The 22,291-nt window shown below is 30.8% G+C and overlaps 1 protein-coding gene across 8 annotated transcripts in view; it reads left to right on the plus strand.

The window, feature by feature from the left end:
* NCAM2 (neural cell adhesion molecule 2) overlaps nt 1-17,476 on the plus strand; it is a 544,921-nt gene extending 527,445 nt beyond the window's left edge. For 4 of the 8 annotated variants that reach the window (NM_001352592.2, NM_004540.5, NM_001352595.2 and 1 more), the window contains 2 exons: nt 8,684-8,803; nt 11,993-17,476. In NM_001352592.2, coding sequence (NP_001339521.1) covers nt 8,684-8,803; nt 11,993-12,104 — 232 coding nt within the window. In that variant the 3' untranslated portion in view covers nt 12,105-17,476. Of the gene's footprint in view, nt 1-8,683; nt 8,840-11,992 lie in introns of all 8 variants that reach the window. The other 4 variants (NM_001352591.2, XM_011529575.4, XM_017028356.3 and 1 more) reach the window with 1 other exon arrangement.
* Nucleotides 17,477-22,291: the final 4,815 nt, after the last annotated feature.

The raw sequence follows: 22,291 nt of genomic DNA on the forward strand, positions 1-22,291 counted from the left end.
AAAAAATCAATGTAAATCCAACACTTCAAGATAATAAAGAAAAATAATCATAAAATCATATTAATATATACATAAATTATTTCACAAAATTTGATACCCATTCATAATAAAAGCTTTCAATAACAATGAGGGGTGGACCTTCCTTAACTTAATAAAGGATATCTAAAAAACTACAACTTACATCATTTTTTACATCTTAGTGAGTAACTAGAAGCTGTCCCCACTATATCCTCTCTCACTAATTCTTTTCAACAGTGTACTGGAAGAACTAGCGAAAGCCATTAAGACAAAGAAAGGAAATAAAAGGCATATTGATTGGGAAGGAAGAAATAAAACTCTCTTTGTTTGCAGATGACATGATAGTCTATGAAAAAAGTCTGAAAAAACACCTGGGTATAGTCAATGATTATAGCAAGGTTGCAGGATAAAAGATTAATATGCAAAAATCAATTAATATGCAAAAATCAAAAGTATACCAGCAATAAACAAGTGAAATTTGAAGTTGAAACAAAATTATTATTTTAATTAGCACCCCGCAAAATTAAATACTCAGCCGTATAGCTAATAAAATATGTACAAGATCTATATGAAGAAAACTATGTAACTTATGATAGAAAATAAAAGAAGAATGAAATAAATGGAGAGTTATTTCATGTTCATGGATAGAAAGACTCAATATGGACAAGACATCAGCTCTTCCCAACTTGATCTGTAGAGTCAGTGTAATCCCAACAAAATCACAAGTCATTATATGAATATTGACAAATTGATTCTAAAGTTTATTACATAGAGAGGCAAAAAGACCCACAATAACCAAAGTAATATTGAAAGTGTAAATGTGTAGGATTGACACTATCCAACTTCAATACTTACTATAAGCTACGATAAACAAGACTTTGTGATATTGGCCAAAGAGTAAACAAATAAATTAATGGAACCCAATAAAAACCTCAGAAATAGACCTACATAAATATACTCAAGTAAACTGACATGTCACACATAGTTAAGGCAGTACTATGGTAAAAAGATGTTATTTTCAACAAATGGTACTGGAACAACTGTAATCCATAAGAAAAAATATATCTAGCCACAGACATTATGCACTTCATAAAAATTAACTCAAAATGTAATATTGACCTAAATATAAATCAAAAAATTATAAAACTACTAGAATAAAACATGGCAGATAATCTAGATGACCTTGGTTTTGGTAGTGAATTTTTGGATTCAACACCAAAAGCACAATCCATGAAAGAAAGATTTTTTTTTTTTTTTTGAGATGGAGTCTCGCTCTGTTGCCCAGGCTAGAGTGCAGTGGCCTGATCTCAGCTCACTGCAACCTCCACCTCCCAGGTTCAAGTGATTCTCCTGCCTCAACTTCCTGAGTAGCTGGGATTACAGGCGCGTGCCATCACGCCTGGCTAATTTTTTGTATTTTTAGTAGAGATGAGGTTTCACCATGTTAGCCAGGATGGTCTCGAACTCCTGACCTCATGATAAGCTGGACTAGTATAAAATTAAAAATTTATGCTCTGCAAAAGACATTGTTAAGTGAATGAAAAGACGAATCACGGAATGGGAGGAAATATTTGCAAAACACATAACTGACAAAGGACTATTATATGATGTATACAAATAATTCTTAAACTCTATATAATAAAAAGAAGAGCCCAATTAGAAAGTGGGCCAAAATACTTAATACATACCTAATTAAAGAACATATACAAATAGTAAATAAGCTTATGAAAAGACATTTCAAATCCTATGAATCAGGGAAATGAAAATTAAAATGAGCTACTGTACCACTGCAAGCCTATCGAAATGGTCAACATCTAGAACATTGACAACACCAAATGGTAGATGTGAAGCAACAGGACATCTCATTCATTGCTGATGGAAATGCAGTGATACAATCACTGTGGAAGACAATTTAGCAGCTTCTCAAGAAAATAAATATACTCTTACCTTAAAATTTATTATTTGAGCTCCTTAGTATTTACCCAAAGAAGTTGAAAGTGTATGTCTACACCAAAACCGCACACTGATGTTTTCAGAAGCTTGTTTCATAACTGCCAAAACTTGGAAGCAATTAAAACATCCTTCAGTAGGTAAATGAATAAACTGTGGTAGATCCCAGCAATGGGCTGTTATTCAGCACTAAAAAGGAAAGAGATAGCAAGCCACGAAGAGACATGGAGGAAACTTAGATGATTATTACTAAGTGAAATAAGCCAATTTTAAAAGACTACCTACTTTATAATTCCAACTATATGACAAATATAGTTTTGCTTTGAGAAAAGCAAAAGACACTAAAAAGATCAGTGGTTGCACATGTTGGAAAGAAGGGAGGAATAAGTAAAGGGAGCCCAGAAGATTTGTGAGGCAGTAAAACTATTCTGTATGATAAAATAATTGTGAGAAAATGTCATGATAAACATTTTCAAACACATAGAATGTACAACCCCAAGAGTGAACCTTAATGTAAAGTATAAATTTGGGGTAATGATGTGTCAAGGTAGGTTCATTGATTGTAACAAATGCACCCCTCTGGTGGGAGATGTTGCTAATGGGGGAGGCTATGCGTGTGTGGGAGCAGGGGATACGTGGGAAATCTCTGTATCTCCCTCTCAATTTTGCTATGAAATTAAAACTGGTCTAAATTAAGTCTATACAAATGGAATTTTAAAATTATTCTTTGTAGTTTATAATTGCTGGGCATCATAGCAGAATGTTTTCCTGATGTTAAAAAATTACAATGTATATGGTTAATAGTTTGTAACAGTGAATACCTGTACGTGGGAAAGTCAAAAGACTAAAAGAAAAAGAAAAACATTAATAAACAAGGTTTACCTTCTAGTAGACATATTCACATGTGTGTCTGGAAATATTTATCATTACTCCATGACAACCACACATTTATCACCTGAAAGACTGGCTATTATACTGAATTACACTAATCTAAATAATAAGGAAGAAACAAGAAGAATCATAGATGTTGGGGAAAAGTGAATATACAGAATAAAATCTAAAAGAAATATAATTATATAACTTCAAATATTCCAGAAAAGAAGTTATATACTTCAGCACTTTATTTCTAAACCCTGGGAAACAAATGGCACACAGATTACAAAAAACGAGTGAAATTTTGCTGTTGTCTATTTGGCATATTTGAATCATTTTCATCCTTTCTATAATATGTAAAATGAAAATATCATGGTTGATTCATAAAAACACAGATGAATGAGGTCTTATTGGATGTTCAGTCCTAATCTCCTTTTCATTCATCCCCCCTTATGAAAGTATCATGACAGTAGGATCCAATGGTTATTGTGAGTGAAATATTACATGAATACCCGCTCCTCAATTTTAGCTATATACATGGGCCCAAACTTGAATCACAAGCAATTAATCAGAAAATCTGAGAAAGTAAAGAGAATATGAAGTCACATGATGATACCTCCTATCCAACGCAGGTATAAGGAACATGAAATTTTCAATATTAAATTTGTTTTGGGATGTGTTTTATTTGGATTATTTTTGCATATCCTTCCATTGCATTTAAGTTAAAATTATTTGCAAGTAAGTTATTCTACATAGTAGAGTTAAACTTTCTATTAATTATGCATTCTGAAATAAAACATAGAATACATCAATATTTTAAAAACCTTACAGCCATATTTGTATTTTAAGGTAACCACAGTATACCCTTTTACTCTTCCCTTTTCTAAACTAATCATTCTCGAAGCTGTTTTCATGATTTATTAATTGCATGAAATCCTTACATTCTGGCAGGGTGTGCTTATTAATTAATCAATAATATCACCTCTCATGATATACCAGATGACATCTGACAGGGGCAGAGTGCATGGACATTTACTGTCTTTAATGTGGAAACTCTCTCTCTCTCTGTGTTAATATTAATAAAACATAACATAGTATTAGTGTTTCTTTAAGTAACTAAATATTTTAGTTACAAAAGCAGTACCAACATATATAATTTATATTTAATAATATCACCTTTTATGATAGACTGGATGACATTTGACAGGGGCAGAATGCATTTAGACATTCACAGTTTTAATGCAAAATCTCTCCCTCTCTGTTGATAAAACATAACATATATTAGCGTTTCCATAAGTAACCAAATATTTTAGTTTCAAAAGCAGTATCTATATGTAATTTTATATTTAATTAAATAAAAATATATATACTTTAAATAAAATTATATAATTTAATTTAATTTAATTATATATAATTTAATTTAATTTAATTATATATGATTTAATTTAATTTAATTATATATGATTTAATTTAATTTAATTATATATGATTTAATTTAATTTAATTATATATAATTTAATTTAATTTAATTATATATATTTAATTTAAATTAATTATATATAATTTAATTTAATTATATATAATTTAATTTAATTATATATAATTAAATTAAATTATATATAATTAAATTAAATTAAATTATACATAATTAAATTAAAATATAATTTGATTACATTAAATTATATATAATTTTATTTAAACACTCAAAAATCAAAGAAATGTAAAAAGTAGAAATCAAAGACCTTAATCAATACTGATCCTATTTGCTGCCTCATACATAAGCATTAATATTTTTTTCCTTCCTTCCCAATAATTTTCCATGTGGTCTATAGTTTGTAAAAAATAATATCCTAGGATACACACACACTCACACACACAGATATTTCTATGTACTACATATATACATATATAAATTTTAGCAAATTTATGTCACATAGAAATGCAGCTGCAATAATGTTCCATTTCAGCACATAAATCTCTTCCTCATTCTTTTCATAAATGAGTAGTATTCCATAGTGTTAGATATAATAAAGTATTTCTCTGCTTCTTTATTGTTACACTTTAGAAGAAACTTTCAATATTTTTATAATGGACTGTTCTGTTTTGAATATCCATATATATAAATTTTGTAAATATACAGTAAGATACTAGATGTAGAATGGAAGGCCAAAACTGAAAAATTCTGGCAAATTGCCCACAGAAGTCTATTCCAATTCATGGCTGCAATAAAAGCAAAGAATGCATATTTCTCTACAACTTCTGACATATTAAATATCACCAATTTATTTTTTGACAATCTGGTAAGTAAAAGTTTTTATTTTGATGTTATTTAAGATTTGCATTTGTCTATTTAGGTTGAGTCTGAGCTTGTTTCTTTTTTTGGTTACTTTGTTTTAATTGTCTTTTAATATCTTTACACACTTTCATAGAGTTATTTAACCTTTTCTCTTACTTGTTGCTTATATCATGTGCCCTATAATCATTTGATTTTGTATTACTTGCAAATATTTATTTATATGATGCTATTTATTACATGAAAGTTTATATTTTTATCTGCAAGTTTATGAATTTCATAAATTTTTTTCAGTGTTGACATTTTCATTTTTAAAAAATTTCTTAAAATTGAAAGTTTCAGTAATATATTTCCAAATGTAAATTCTCCATGCATGCCACGACAGTGATGCAGGTAACACTGATTGAGTGTGGCACATGCATCAGCTATTACAAGTAACCTACAGGAATTAGTTTGGCACTATTACCATCTTTGTTTTATTAACTAAGCAATTCCGAAGGATGGGGAGTTTTATGCAATGAGTTAGTGGGAGAGCCAGCTAATTTAGGTCTGAACACCTCCCTTAAACATTATGCTATGCTTGTTATTATTTCCTATTTAATAGTAAGTTCTAAAATATGGCAGGAATTTATATAATGTTAACCAGTCTATACATTGTGAAACTTATCCACATTACATTTTGTGACTATTTTGACAAACAATTGCCTCATTTACTCTTTTTAATTCTACAGACAATATCAATAATGATTCTGGTATTACTTAATATAACTTACACGAGGTCAGGAGATGGAGACCATCATGGCTAACGCGGTGAAACCCCGTCTCTACTAAAAAATACCAAAAAAAAAAAAAAAAATTAGCCGGGCGTGGTGGTGGGCGCCTGTAGTCCCAGCTACTTGAGAGGCTGAGGCAGGAGAATGGCGTGAACCCAGGAGCGGAGCTTGGCAGTGAGCCGAGATCACGCCACTGCACACCAGCCTGGACGACAGAGCAAGACTCCGTCTCAAAAAAAAAGAAAAATATTATATATATATCTTACAATGGATAGGAGATTCGACATGTAAATTATGTGTGTTTCAAATATAGCCAACCAAGGTTAAGTAAAATATTCACTTGATAATACTTATGGTATTTATTATAATAAAAAAGTTAAAAATAACCTAAATGTTTGTCAGTTGGTAACTGGTTAAATATATGGTGGTACATACATACAACAGCATAGTATGCAGCATGAAAAAATAAAAGACAACTCTAAATATTCTTTTATAGATTATAGCTAAAACTCAGTGTTAGTTCAAAAGGCTCAATTATATACAGTTAGTATATTATTTGTGTAAAAATAACTGTATGCATTTGATTCATATGTGCTGATATCTGTGTAGAATGTCTCTGGAAAAAAATTAATGTAATAAAAATTAAAATTAAAAAGGTCACCAAAAACAAAAATAAGAATTGTAAAGGCTACTAACTAACCATTTTCTCTTGTTAATCTTGAATGTCCTTTCAGTAATATTTAATTATTTTTAATTTAAAGATATTTGTTTGCATATTAATTCTTAGTAAGAAAAAGAATTAAAATCAGAATTCACTAGTTCTGTCTTCTCTCTGCATTGTGCTTTAGTTCATCGTATATTTGTACCAATTGTTAATATAAGAAAATGTTTGAATCATTTTCTTGCTAAGAATCATCAATAGCCACATTTCCACAAATAGTATACTCCTGTATGTCATCACAAACACTGGCATAATGCAGAATTTTTTAAAAGAATCAATTGAAGAATAATGAAAACTAACACACAAACAGACCAAACAACATTAAGATCCAGTGGTGGTGGGCTCTTCATCCATCTTTACTTACTCTGTAGATCTTACTTACTTGGGGCCCTTGATCAGATAATGTTGCTAAATCTGTGTGAATCACTGTCTCTTACAGACATCTGATTTTCAGAGCTAAAAAAGTTTATTCACTTCTAGATTTCTTCTATTCTTATAAACACCCATTCTTCAAATTATGATGCATGTGTATGTGAGGTACCTACATACTCAGATAAGAGGAATGATATGGAACTGTGATCTGATCAAAAGTGTTTTATATCCTTAGTGTTTTTTTCTATATAAGTCTCAGCATTTGTAGAGTCTGTTCAATCTTTGGACCATTGTAGATTTGTTGTTTGCTTGCTTTTTTTTTTTTTGGTAATCCTAGTGTATATGCTTCCTAAGAGCAAATTTTAATATCCTATATCCACCATTATGATAAGAAACATAACAGTTTCCCTGCTCTGAATGTTCTAAATGTCCCACCCTTCCTCTAGTCCCTGGCAACTACAGACTTTATTATTGTCATTATGCATTTGTCATTTCCGGAATGTCATATAGTTGGAATTAGAAAGTATTTAGTCGTTTCAAACTGCCTCAGTTGCCTTAGTAAATATATTTAAAGTTCTATATATTTTCATGGTAGTTAGCTCATTTATTTTTTATTAGTAGTAATTTTCAGTTTTACCGATGGACCACAGCTTACTTACCCATTACCTACTATCCATTCACTTATTGAAAGACAAGTTGGTTACAATTTTTGGCAATTTATAAATAGTGTTACTGTAAACATTCATATGAAGACTGTTGAATGAATACAAATTGAAGTCCCCAACCCTTCTTTAGTTTTTTTTTTTTTTTTCTGTACCTATTTGAAATCTTTATTAGGAGTACCTCATGCCCAATTCTTCTGTCTCACTTTACTCCTTGTCATCACCAAATAACTTCCTTGTTACTCTTTTTTTGGTTGTTGTTCAGTTGTGAGGCATGAAACATTATAATAAGTTTTCTAGTTTTCATCAATTGTGAAAAATTACATTCACTGTTATATATTCAAAATTTGATAAAGACGACATTGGAGGATGAAGTTATAAATGAAAAGATATGCATATATGTTACAAAGATTATTTTATTTAAACTATTTTCTTGAAAAACGTGAATAAGTTAGAAGTCCATAATCATTTTATAGTTAAGATCTTTCATACAAATGGATAGACATATTTAAAAGAAGACAACACATACAAATTTTGTCTTCTAAATTTTGAAATAAAAGCAACCCTTCTGAAGTATTTCAAATATTTTAAAATTTTAAAATGTTTTCTTTTTTATTATTTTAAAAATGTTTTGAAATATTTTGATAGTTTCAAATGTGGCTAGTTAGAGGAAAGAAACCTACTTGATGCTGTACATTTTATTAACAAAATATTTTCATTTTTTTCAAAATAGAATATATACAGTAGGATTTTAAAATGTGTACCAATTTTGCAAAATAATTGATACAGTTTTGATGAGAAAATCTATCTAGAAAAAATGGAATTTCTTCCTTTTTTTCTGAGTGATAATATATGGTGAAACAAATTTAAATGGTAAAGCATTTCTCAGTGGTTTTCTTAAATTAACCAAGTTGGATTTATTTGGAGGAAGGTAGAATTGGGTGATTTTAAACTCTGTTTTTTTCCATAATGCATCCATTTTTAAATTACACAGGTGAGATGTTTCTCTTTATGTTTCTAGGAAAGATGGATCAAAAGAACCAATAGTGGAGATGAGAACAGAGGATGAAAGAGTTACTAATCACGAAGATGGGAGCCCAGTAAATGAGCCAAATGAAACCACACCACTGACAGAACCTGAGTATGTGGCTTGGAGTGCTCACTTATGTTCAAATGGGTATTGGCAAAATGATAACACATTATTATTGTTGTATTACATATTTAAATATTAATTATTTGTAAAAGAATTGTGCTTTTACTTTTTTGATGAAAGTACATGTGAATATCTAAAATCCATTTTCTAAGGAGACATTTTTCATGAAAACTTTGTATGAATGTCAGAGAAAGTCTGTTAAACCATATATCTGTAATTTAATGCAAAAGTATAAAAAGGTAAGTATCTTACAGAGTTTGAGGTTTTCAACAATAGTCTGTCTTTTTAAGATAGTGTTGTTTTCTCTTTCAAGATAAAATAATTATATTTACTGAAATAAGGACATGTTAGGAAATTTGTCATCGCTTTGAATATAAATGTCATTGAAATATACGCACGGCTATTTTAAAAAGAAATATTTGTGCAGAGGAGAAAATAATATTAAAGTGTTTATCATTGCAATATCTATGTAGTAAATGATGCTTGGTTTCCATTCTTGATGTTATTTATTTTGCATCTCTAATAGCTCTGTTAAAACTATAGTAGATATCAAAAGCTGAAAAGATGAATATACGCCTAGATTCATGCACAGAATAATTAGAATAATTCAAAGCAAAGGCATTATTACAAAGTAGTAATAGTAGTATTCTTCTATTGGATGTATGTGGTACTAACAAAACCATGGTGGTCACACACTTCTTTACTGTGCACCAAAAAAACTTTTTAATTTTATTATTTTTCAAAACAAATATTTATTTTTGTAACACCTAATATTTTCTTGCAGAGTAAACTGATTTAGGTTTCTCATCCTAAATCAAAGAAAAAATGTTGTCACAGATGAAGAAAATGATTTTATTTTCATAAATTCCCTCTGTCTACCCACAAGGGGCTGAAATAATTAATATTTACACAAATGCAAAGTACTACTCTATAGAAAAAAATTTAATATAAATCCTCGGGCCAATTTTAGTGATTGCATTTAGAGATTATTACAATGTAAATTCAAATTAACTGTATTAGATGTGGGTTCTACATTCTTCACTTTAGAAATAAGAGGTGTACATGAAAACTAGTTAAGAATATGCTCTTGGACCAGGCTATATTTTGGGAAAAAAGGGTAATTTAATAACTATTTCACAATTATAGAAAATTAATCACCAATATAAAATAATATGATTAACAGTGATCTTAAACATATTTTACCTATACGTAAGTGGTGAGAAATTCTATACCCAGAAACAAACTATCAATTTGGTGAAAGCACTGGGTCATTAAAAACTTAATATATATTTCATGAGTAAGAGATATATTATTATGCTAACTTACTATCAGAACTCTAATCAGAACTCTTTCTCTACAGTTTGATGCTTGAGGTGACACATTGCTTTTATGACCTTGTATTGTCAATATTTTCAGTACTTGTGAATGCTAAAAAGGAATAACTGAGACTGCACTATTTATAACATATATAAAATAGCCTGCTCTCGTTGGTACAATGTTTTTTAATGTTTTTTTCATTCCCAGCAATGGATATTACTAGTTTTTGCCTATTACTTCTTTTGATTAGTTCTGATTGCTTTGATCTGCAGAATGTTTTACCCTTCTCATTCAAAAATATAAAATAAATTACAAATAAATCCCAGATGAACTAGCATTGTAACTTTCACTCCATTATAACATGGTAAGGTTAAAGTCACAGAGATGGATTGGAATACTATTTCTTTCTTTTTTTTTTTTTTCCGAGACTAGTTTCGCTCTTGTTGCCCAGGCTGGAGTGCAATGGCGCAATCTCAGCTCACCTCAACCTCCGCCTCCCAGGTTCAAGCAATTCTCCTGTCTCAGCCTCCCGAATAGCTGGGATTACAGGCGCACGCTGCCACACCAGGTTAATTTGGTATTTTAGTAAAGACAGGCTTTCTCCATGTTGGTCAGGCCGGTCTCCAACTCCTGACCTCATGTGATCCGCCCGCCTTGGCCTCCCAAAGTGCTAGGATTAGAGGCGTGAGCCACTGCGCCTGGCCTGGAATACTATTTCTAACTTAATTTTCTTGGTGTGGAAAAAGTATGTTGTTAAGGGAGAAAAACCCATCTCCAAATGTCATGTACACAATAGTAAACAATTGAATTTGCAAGTTTTAGGAAAATCTTGAAAGCACAATTCATTGGCATCGAAGTAGGGTTTATGACGCTGTCTTGATATTAAGAAATAAAGTTGGTATTGCTTCATAAGTTACAATTGCAAACAACTCAAAATCCGTGTTGCAAAGTGACATAAAAGTGACAAGAAAAACAATGTGAAAAGAGACAAAAGAAAACATATACAATAAATATTAAAAAGTGAGCAAGTCCTAAAATATGTTCATTTGCATTAAGTTCTAAGGAATATTGTTAATTCACTTAGTTTCTGAATTTTATTTTATTTTATTTTAATAATAATTATTATTATTTGAGATGGAGTCTTGCTCTGTTGCCCAGGCTGAAGTGCAGTGGCATGATCTCAGCTCACTGCAATCTCCACCTCCCGGTTCAAGTGATTTCCGTCTAATTTTTGTAATTTTAGTAGATACCTGGTTTCACCGTTTTGGCCAGGCTGGTCTTGAACTCCTGACCTCAAGTGATCCACCCGCCTCAGCATCCCAAAGTGCTAGGATTACAAGCATGAGCCACCACGCCCAGCCTGGTTTCTGAATTTTATGTAACAGAATATGGCAACAATTATTAATTGTTTTCACTGGAGAAAACGTAGTGCTAATAAATCATATCATTGACATTTAAAAATATTTTGGCATTTTACCTTCCATAACATGTAATTATATTTTGGAGATCAACAACTAGTTACCAAATCTAAGCCACCCTATAGTGAGCAATTTGGTGCATCTATATCTACAAATATATTGTTTCATTCATCATTCTGCATTACATTTTTAAAAGGCCAAGTAATTGTTTTTACTCTCTTTTAGATCTTTTTAAATCTATTTTATATTATGTTAATAAATTTAATTTTTCCTTTCTAATTATTGTAGCACGTTTTCTCTATAAAATAGTAACTTATTTAGCATATATAAAATGTTAGCATATTATTGGAGCATATTTTCCTTACAAAACAGTAACTTAAAGGTTAAGGTACGTCTCCTTAAATACCTCAGAAAATGAAGCTTATTATTTTTTATCTTCCAGAAAATTGCCTTTAAAGGAAGAAGATGGGAAAGAAGCTCTAAATCCAGAAACTATAGAAATTAAAGTTTCTAACGACATCATTCAATCAAAAGAAGACGACAGCAAAGCATAACAACAATATTACAGGGGCTTGAACAACACTACGAAGAGTATTTGGATTGCGTGACCCTATGACCAAAACTATTCCATTGACCTTAATTTCTTGGGAAACTTCTAGCTTGGAATAGCTTGTACACATATACATATGATCAAATACTCCTGCCCATGATCCATTCCCTTTTGTTATTGTTGTTGTTGTTGCTGTTGTTGTTAATTTTGTTAAGAATTTCAATATCAAGACTGACTGGCACCAACACTTTGGTATTCAATTTGATTCTATGACTGAAGTACTGGAATTTATTATGTGGCTAAAGTGCTCTATTTATTAAGAACTATATTTAATACCACCAACAAATATAGGGGTTAAGGAAAAAAAACGTGAGCTACATGTGTAAGAAGGCCCTGCATGTGTATGAGTCCTATTCTGGGCAAATAGATTCTTAAAGTGGCTTTCAACTTCAAGATGAAGGAGCTTAATAATGGTTACTCATTTTATCAGGGGAATTTCAGGGAACGTAGGCGTCAAAGAGCCAGTTATCTTTAGCAGATATTAAAAATTGAAAACTTTGGAGAACTCATTTCAAGTTATGATTCAGTGCATTTTCAACATTGATTTTTGATAGACTGAAGTGCCAGATCAAAATTGTTACCCATTTGAAAGAATATTAGTTGTATATAAAATTAGATTAGAAAGACTTTCTAAATCTCTATCTCTTTATATATGTCCTATTCATTCACAATGGATTATACAAAAAAAAGTGTATTGCAAGTGAAATAATATTGATTTCTGCCCTCAGCTTCAAATAAAGTAAATTGAAATGGGAACAATATCAATATGGTGTCTTGATATATTTATAAATATGTGATTATCATTTATTTTTAAAATAATTTATCAAAAAACAAGTCTTTAGTGTTCAAATACTTCAAATCATATCCTCAGATATATTTTTAGCCCATGGTTTTATATAATCTTTAAGAACTAATTTTACCACTGTTATAGGTTCACCATTAAATATAATTGGCTAATAAAAATTTTAAGGTTGACTAAATTAAGAAGAAATTATTTAACATTTTAATGTGCCATAAAAGAGTAAATGATAAATAATTAAATGCCACTATGTGTTCTATTCCGGATGTTCTAGCTAGAAGTCATTTTAAGATTTTGATAAACAACTTTGGTTGAAGAAATTCCTTAAGTATTCAACACAAACTTTCTAATATCTTTTGTTAGGGTTATACCAGAATAAAATGCTTCTTTACTTCCAAGCTATGCAAGCTCCCAGAGGTAATAGAGTGACACATGATTTAACTTATATGTAAGGTTTAAAAAAGTATTTATCATTATAAACATACATACCATTTGGGAGCAGGTTTATTAACCTTGAGAGCCAAAGGTTTCCTTAGGCCCTGTAACATTCAGAACCTTTGGTGTTTCAGGTGGTATTATAGCTCAAATAGTGACAGGACAGGGAATGCGTTCCAAAGGAATATTGGAGCAATTTTAACATTGCAGAAACCTGCTCTGGGTGTGTCTCTCTGTAGAGATAACCTGATGATTATTAAATGTAAAATTAAGGCAACTCATGAATATTTTTATTTACAAAGTGCTTGAAACTCAGCCAAGGAGAGAAAACTAAGTACTTTTATATAATTCATCACTTTTCTGGCTACAGCAGGACAGAATATGACCATCTTCGTTTGAAGGCACCAAATCGTCGCAGTGTCTTTGCCATAAGTTGCAGGGTTAAATGCGGGAATCTCTCCTTGCGTTCCTGTCTGGCGTATTCTGAAGAAAAGAACAGAATTCTTGTGCCTACCTAAGAATTTGAGTAGTGTCTAAACAAACAAAGCAGTTAGGTCATTTTAACTGACTTGATTATCCAACTGGTCTTTGACAGATTTGACTGTTCATATTTAGTTTATGTTTGTCTGATCATCCAGTTTGCTTTATTTTGCTGTGTTTTATTTTGTTGTTTGTTTTGTTTTGTACCAGTGTACTAAAACTAGTCAAAATACTTGAATTAGTTTGTTTGTGCAAAGTGTACAAGCTTAGTAAAGTGTCCATGAAGCAATAGCCATGAATGCTAATTATTTCTAAATAGGGCCACATGGTTTTAAACTAATGATGGTGAAAGAAATACGATGACTGAGAAAGTCATTTCGCATGTTTACTATTGTTATATTCGTGCTTTACTTCAAGAGTGCAGAAATCATAATAAATAACAAACTATTTTTGTGTTTTCTCAATGTGACATTTCTGTTTCTCTCATTTATTCGGATTTTCCTTGTAAAGAAATTGACATATATTTCATATATATATACACATATATATATATACACATATATATACATATATATATATGATGTTAAATTTCCTGCCACTCATGTGGAGTAATGATCTGAAATTAACAGATAATCTGAAGCTAATTATATTCAGACTATTTCAAGTGCACTGTTTCAGTTGCCCGGGTGGTCCTTACCTCTTGTCCTTGAAATCCATGCCATGCTGAAGCAAGGCAATACTGTGATAAAGTATTTTTTTTAATATTTCAATGGAATGCTCCAAATGATTTATAAAAATTTCAAAATAAAAGATGGCTTGTAGTAAATTGTAAAATATGAGTAGAACTGAAATAACCTGTTTCATTCTTATTCTAGATTAAACAAACATATACATATAACCATATAAATGTTATTTTTATTGTCTGAGAGTACTCTTAAATATTAGTATAAAGTGTCAAAAGAATTGACTGAATATAAGTACTGTTAAAATAATTTGAACCCTATGATATTTTAAACCAAGAGGCAAAGATATCACCTAAAACTTGGTATTTCTTGATAGGTTAGGTGCAATTAGGCAGTGACAATCTGTATTCAACAACATATAAGAGGAAAGAGTAATATCAGAATTTTGACACAAATTAATGTGTCAACATATTTTACAATGATTGTCAAAGGAATTTAAGAATTGTATTTTTAAAGATTTATTTATTATTTTTGTGGGCTAAGACATTGCCATTCTATTGATACTAATGTCTAACATTAATGTTTCTTGTTTTCTTTTATTTTTAATATTAATAACTATAAAAGCATTTTTCAAAGGCTATTTGATCCAGCACACTTCATATGGATCTTAGTCTTTGAATTAAATATTTATATAAATAGATTTTATTAATCAAATTATTTATTTGTGTGCCAACAATTAATTGTAACTTTATGATCATATCTTTGTTTATGCTTCTTATTTTAAATAATTAAGATGTATCTGTGCCTTTTAATTAGCATGACAGTCTGCTTTATTAAAAGAAAAAAACTACAATTAACATCATTACTAGTATATTTTGCTTAGATTTGAGATACTCAAATGATGCTGTCTTATTTACAGTCAGTAATTAAGTTCAATTCAAACTATTTTACCTTGAATATAAAATCTAAATATAATAAACTATACTGTATAATTTACTTTAATTCATGTCAAAACAATTCTTTTTATACACACACATGAAATATTCTTAATCTGTTCTGTATTGTTTTTCTAAACAATAAATACATTCTAGATATTGTTGAAATTAAATTTTGCCAGTTGTAAGACAAAGACAACAGATAACTTTTGAAAATCAAGCAAATTACTATGGTGTTTCTTGGGTCTTCATTATTCCATTTATATATATTTTTTATTTCGAATAATAAATCAACCTTTATTTTTGGCAATAAGATTATCACTGACGAAAATATGTACAGTTCAAGAAGTAGAAATAATATTTTCCATTAGTTAATTTAGGAAATATTGGAATAGCATATTATAATTATTTATGAGGTTCCCAATGTTGTTTTTCACAGAAAATAAGGTAAACATTCAACTTAAATCCCCCATGAAGTTTTTTCATGCTCATACTCATAATCATTATCACATAATGTGCTTATTCAACAAACTTTGTATCTGGATATATTTTTAACAATAAGTTTGTTAGCATTATTTATTTATCTTTAGAGAGAAAATATTTGCATCTGTTTATTTACCCTTTGAAGCATTAATACTTAGTCACTCACATTGAAATTGCATATGGATGTATCAACATAGGCTAAAATTAAATTATGGATGTCGCAGAAATGAAATACTTCATCTTAGAAGGTAAAATTTTCAAGAAAGTATTTTATTCATGGACTTAATAATGTCTTAAGATGAAACAATTTTATGTCCAAATGAGAAATTTATAAAAAGACCCACATATAGTAGTTGCTGAACAAACATAATTTTCTTCCAGCTCCCATCCTTCCTTTTTGAAAAATTGAATTTACCCATGTAGATGCAGCTATTTACAATTATACAAGAATGCGAATAGATTAATTATATCTTCTCATATAAAGGCAAAGAATTTTATATTATATATAATGCTAAATATTTATTTGATAACACAATATTCTTAGAAAAATAGTTTATTACTTTAGGATTTTATCTATAACATAAATATATTATTTGTTATTACCTCTTTAAATTTTCATTTTATACAATTTTTGAGATTCTGGCCACACAACATTCAGAATTATTGCTCATGTAAATTTAAATATTGCTACTTATTTTTTTTCTTTTCTGAAATGAAAACATGAATCTTTTGGCATCTGTTTTTAGCCTCCCATGGAAGACAGTAAGCAAAACCATCACTGTTGGAGAATTTCAAATCACAACCCGACATAGGAGAGTAGAGAAACAAAGAAATGAGTGGATCTAGAAAGGCAAACTGAATTGCTATATTTGGAATAGCTAAGAAGGACCTGACTTTGAGAAGTGCTAGACCAGGGACTAGGAACGTTGCTTAGATAAAAATTATGGCCGATTACACTGATGCGAAGGAGAAAACAGTGTAACACAGAGGAGAAAGTTAACAGAGATAGAATCTATGATTTAATTTTGCAAATAGTTTTTTTAGAGAACAACATGCATACTATAAAAGAAATGATACTATTAAGAACAAACCTACTTGTTCCAACTCTTAAAGAAATATTCATGGTTTAGCATTTGCCTCTAAACCCTGTTAGAAATATGTGAAGTTAGAAATAAAGGTTTTTTTAAAAAAAAAGCTTTTTTGGTATGTGAACTGTATGCTGTGCTCAGTATGTACTGAAACATACTATCTTTTATTTTCTTTAATTTATATATTCCATTCAAATTCTATATTCTTAAGTTAGCTACCACAACGTTTTCTTATTGTTTCAATATGGTATGTCCCAATGAAATGCTGTATATATATGTCTAAACTGTAAAAATTATACTGCAAATGTTGAAGTTTTGTATTTATGAGAGACATTGAAAGTATGGCTTACAGTATATCAAACTTGTCACACTTCACCATTTGTATATTAATAGTAAAGATACTTTTACTTTAATAAAGTGTTGCATTTTATGTTTATTTTGAATAACATTTCTGCAGTGAGCAAGCTTATGGCTTTTCAAATACTTCTGTGTTAAGAAATTTCCAAACATATGTCTAGATATTCTAAAGAAGAGAATGCTTTCTGCCATCTTATCTCTCAATGAGTTACAATCTTTTGGCTTCTACACTGAGCAGAGCTCAGAGAATTAATGAATAAACAGTTGGTTTAGAGCAGTGGTTCTCAAAATGTGACCCCCTAGAGCAGCATTACCTGGGAACTTGTTCGAATTGTAAATTTCTAGACCTCACCAGAGATTCGATCAATCAGAAGGTTGTAGGAGAGGGCCATGGTAATTTGTGTTTCAATAAGAATTTCTGATGATTCTGATGCACGCTAAAATTTGAGGTCCAATGGATTAGAGACACTTTATTTTTTCATTTACCAAATTGTGTTGATCAATTTATAAATGCTAGGCAACCAACTAAATATAGCAGTTATGCTTTAACGCAATGTATGCATTCCCCAACAGCATCATATTCTGCAAAATAATGCACTTAATAATAAAAAGACTTGAAGGAAAAATAAGTTTGGAACAAACCAGTCAAAATGTAAACAACTGTGGAACCAGAGCATTGTCACAAGTTAACAGCAAACAACCATTCTTTAAAAGAGAGTATAAACATTGGAACATATTGAATGATAGTCTATTATTAACTTCTGTTTCAAAGCTAATCATTTCACACATGATTTCACAAGTACTTTTCATTTTTTAAAACTAGTATAAATGTGACTTACTCTTAAAAACTAAAAATCTGAGTGCCAACTTTTCACAACGGGGCAATTTTCAATGTAAGCTTTACAAATACCTCAAAATACATACACATATAGAATAAAAATAACATCAAACACTTTGAAAAGTGAAGAAAAAGATATATATTGTGCTTGGTATTTCAGTATTCTATGTTTATTATAAAGACAATTAAAATAAAATACAAACTATGCCTCATGAAAGAAGCCAAAATTAAGTCTCTGATGTGTTTTGGAAATTGTGCAGGTAACCCTGATAATATTTTAGAGAATTTCTTCCACATTTTTTCTAACCCAAGGCATTGCCTAAATACAAATTCTCTTTATTATACATTAAATAATGAACATATTTCTCCTAAGTTTCATGCCATATATGGCCTCAGCATTTTAAATTTCTTTTTTAACATGAGTTTTTAATACACAAATTAAAATGTTCTCAAAATATAAATATTATTTTATATTTTATATGAGGTGTCATATATGTACTCGTCTTTGGCATAAACTTGTTCTTTAATAGAACGCATACGTTTGTGTATTTTAACTTTTCTGGATAACTTTAACATCTTCCATAGATAGCCTTTTGCATTTTATTTTTTGGTAGAGTGGCCACTATAATAATATAAAATTTATTACACTTTAATTTAGTCTTTAATTTAGATTTTTATTAATATATGGGCTGTAAAGTCAGATATTTCTAGTATTTAAATGTCTTCATATTTGGAAAACAAGATTAACTTGATTATTTTAGTTTACATCAACCTTTCCAATTCCACCTCCAATTTCCACACTTCCTACTTCTCTCATCTTTCTTTCATCTATCTCAATCATGACCAATGTCAGAAACTGGCCTGAGAAGTTTGAGATATATAAAGAAAAGGATATTTACCAAAATCAGTCCAAAACATTTGTATACCATCACATCTGGAGATGAAGCAAATACCAATTATCTTGGAAGAGTCGTTTTTGAAAATAGAGTTTTTGAAGGAAGTTGCAATTTTCTTTGTGTTGGGAAGCATTGGCTGAAGAGAAGGAAATAGGCATCTAGTTTGTAAGCAAGGACACAGACTGAACCCACAGAGGGGATGCAACACACATCCAGGGCTTATTCAATGCTGTTTGAGGAAGCTTTAGCACTAGGTTTGACTATGTGAAGGTCCCCTACTAATTATAAGGGAAGTACTCTCTGAAAAGCATAAAAAAAATTTTCACCAATTCAGAAACCAAGAGATCCAAGAGATCCACACATTTACTCAGCAGAAGAGAAAAGAATTTCCTACGTCTTTGCAACCAGGATGCAAAACTGGGATCCTTGGAGTAATATTGAAAAACAGATGAGAACCGAGATATTAGAATTAGAATAAACCTAGGTTCACACCCCAATTCCGTTACCTATTACTAGCTCTGAATGTGATAAATTTAGATAAAAATTTGCAGCTTTATTTCCTCATGTATAAAATTGTTATCCTAAAGTAAATAATATTCATCTTCAAGAGATTATTTAAAGATTTATTGAGATCATATTTATGCAGTTCTTCATGCAATGTCTACCACACAGAAAATACCAATAAATAGTAGCCATGAGTATCTTTATATCCGCCATATTTCAACATCGATTCTCAGAGTAAGTTACGTTAGACAGTAACCTATTATTGAATAACAAATTGAAATGTAGTAGTGACTTAAAACATTAACAATGTATTATTTTTTATGATTTCACATATTGATTTGAATAAATTCGGTAATTATTTTGCAACATATGATGTAGCTGAGCTCCCTTAAGTGGCTACCAGCTTCTAAAAGGCAACCTTCCAAATGGAAGTCCCAATATGCAAATGCTCCCCAAGCCTCTATTTGCATCATGCTTGTGATGTTCAGTCAGTCACATTAAATCATATGGATAAGCACATAGTCAATGTGTTTGCATAGAGGGTGTAAACAAGGGCATAATGCACTGAGCACAATTAATGTCACAATGTAGCTCAATATTCCTTATGTCTCCTAATGTTTCACATCTTTTCCACATGCTAAACTCACTCAAACCCTTCCTGAAACTTTCAATGTATATTATTGTGTTACCATGATAAGATTTGAATTTTAGAATTTATTCAACTAAGTTAATCCCAGGTGATCATAGCATCTCAGGGATTACACCTGGGTTCAATTCTTCAGTGCAGAGTTCTGTCCACTAAAAAGATAATGTAACTCCTTCTGGAAAACTCTACAGATAATTATAAGGCAGGAGCAGGATATAACAATAGACACGGCAATTCAAATAATAGGGAAGGAATTGGAGACTTTTGACAGTTATGTGTCTGTAGAAATTTTGAGATCCAGTCAGAAAAAAATGACCAATTCCATCACCCACTGCCCCCCACCAACAGCACAGGGAATTTTCCTTAATTAGGGTTTGATTCCATTCCAAGGGTAAGATAACTATCTATATTGTTCTTCGTATTGTTAGGGTCACTCTTTGAGATATTCCTACTTTTCTATAGGAAAGAGTACGTGATTATAGCTGGGTAAATTTCTTGGCTTGTTTCTTGGCCAGATGTATTTACTGCCTAGAAAACTATTTTCATTTAAACTTCTTAAGTCCCACTAAATTCAAGCTGATACAACTTTTTTAAAACAGTGGGAGTTCTAGATAGATAGATAGACACACACATATAAACATGTATGTATATATATGTATATAAAAACATGTATGTATATATATGTATATACATACATGTTTATATATATACATATATATACGTATGTGTAAATGTATCAAATTATAGTCTACTACATTAGACAAGAACCACACTTAGGAATGTTTTCAAGATAGTTACTTCTCTGTGGGGCTGCAAAGGGGGATCTTATTATATGATTCCCTTAACAATTTTAAAAGCCCATTTATCCAGTTATAAAAGCCTATAAGGCACGGCCTTACATTCCCATGTGATCTAACAAAGGACACCCTTGATTTTTTTTTTATCCCCAAACTATGTTTTACTGACAATACCCAGACTTTGATCTTTGACTCTATGACATTTATTACTTTTGAGAAACTTTTGACAGCTAGAAAGTGTGGGAAAGAGAGAACAAGTCTTTTGTAAGAAATAATCTTCTGAATGCTGCTTGAAAATTGAGCATATATCTCTCTAGCACGTATGTCTCCTGCAACACCCTATCATACTTGAGAAGAAAAAAAAAGACAATTAGCACTTTCAATATGCTGCCTTGAAATCTCCTTAGTCACATTCACAAACACATTAGGTACATTTTCTGTTTTCCAATTTATCATAGGCAACAATTTTCCTAAATATCTGCAAACACGGTTTTCTTTGTCTCCAGTCCCTAACAGCAATTTTCTCACTGCTCTAAGAGACTTCACTAACAGTCTTCTTTCCTCCATTTAGGCCTTTATCTCCCATATAATCACAAAGCTGATGACAGAAGGGATATCGTTTTGTTATAATAAGAGCCCACTTGCAGTTTCCAGTTTCGGTTCCACTTATCTATGCCTGTGTGTTAGTTTCCTCTTGCTACTGTAAGAAATTACAATGAAGTTAGTGGCTTTAAAAAGACCACAAATGTATTATTTTACAGTTCTAGAGGTCAAACTCTGTTATGGACTTCACTGGGCTAAAATCATAATGTCAGCAGTATTACATTACTTTAAAGGCTGCTAGAGTCTGCCTGCATTCTTTGACTTATGATCCTCTTCCATCTTCCAGGCCAGCAATTGCCTTACTCTGAGCCTTGCTTTCATCGACACACCTCCTTCTCTGACTCAGACTCCCTGATTCCTTATTTTCTTTTCAGGAGCTTTGCGATCACATTGGGTCTACCTTGATAGTCCAGCATAATCTCATAATCTTCCCCTCTCTTGTCCTTAGTTACATCTACAAAGTGGTTTTTTTTTTGGTGGTGGTGGTGGTGGTGGTTTTTTTGTTTGTTTGTTTGTTAACATGGAGTCTTGTTCCATAGCCCAGACTGGATTGCAGTGACGCAATCTCGGCCCACTGCAGCCTCTGC

The sequence above is a fragment of the Homo sapiens genome, chromosome 21 (genome assembly GCF_000001405.40).
Source record: "Homo sapiens chromosome 21, GRCh38.p14 Primary Assembly".
Classification (NCBI taxonomy): domain Eukaryota; kingdom Metazoa; phylum Chordata; class Mammalia; order Primates; family Hominidae; genus Homo; species Homo sapiens.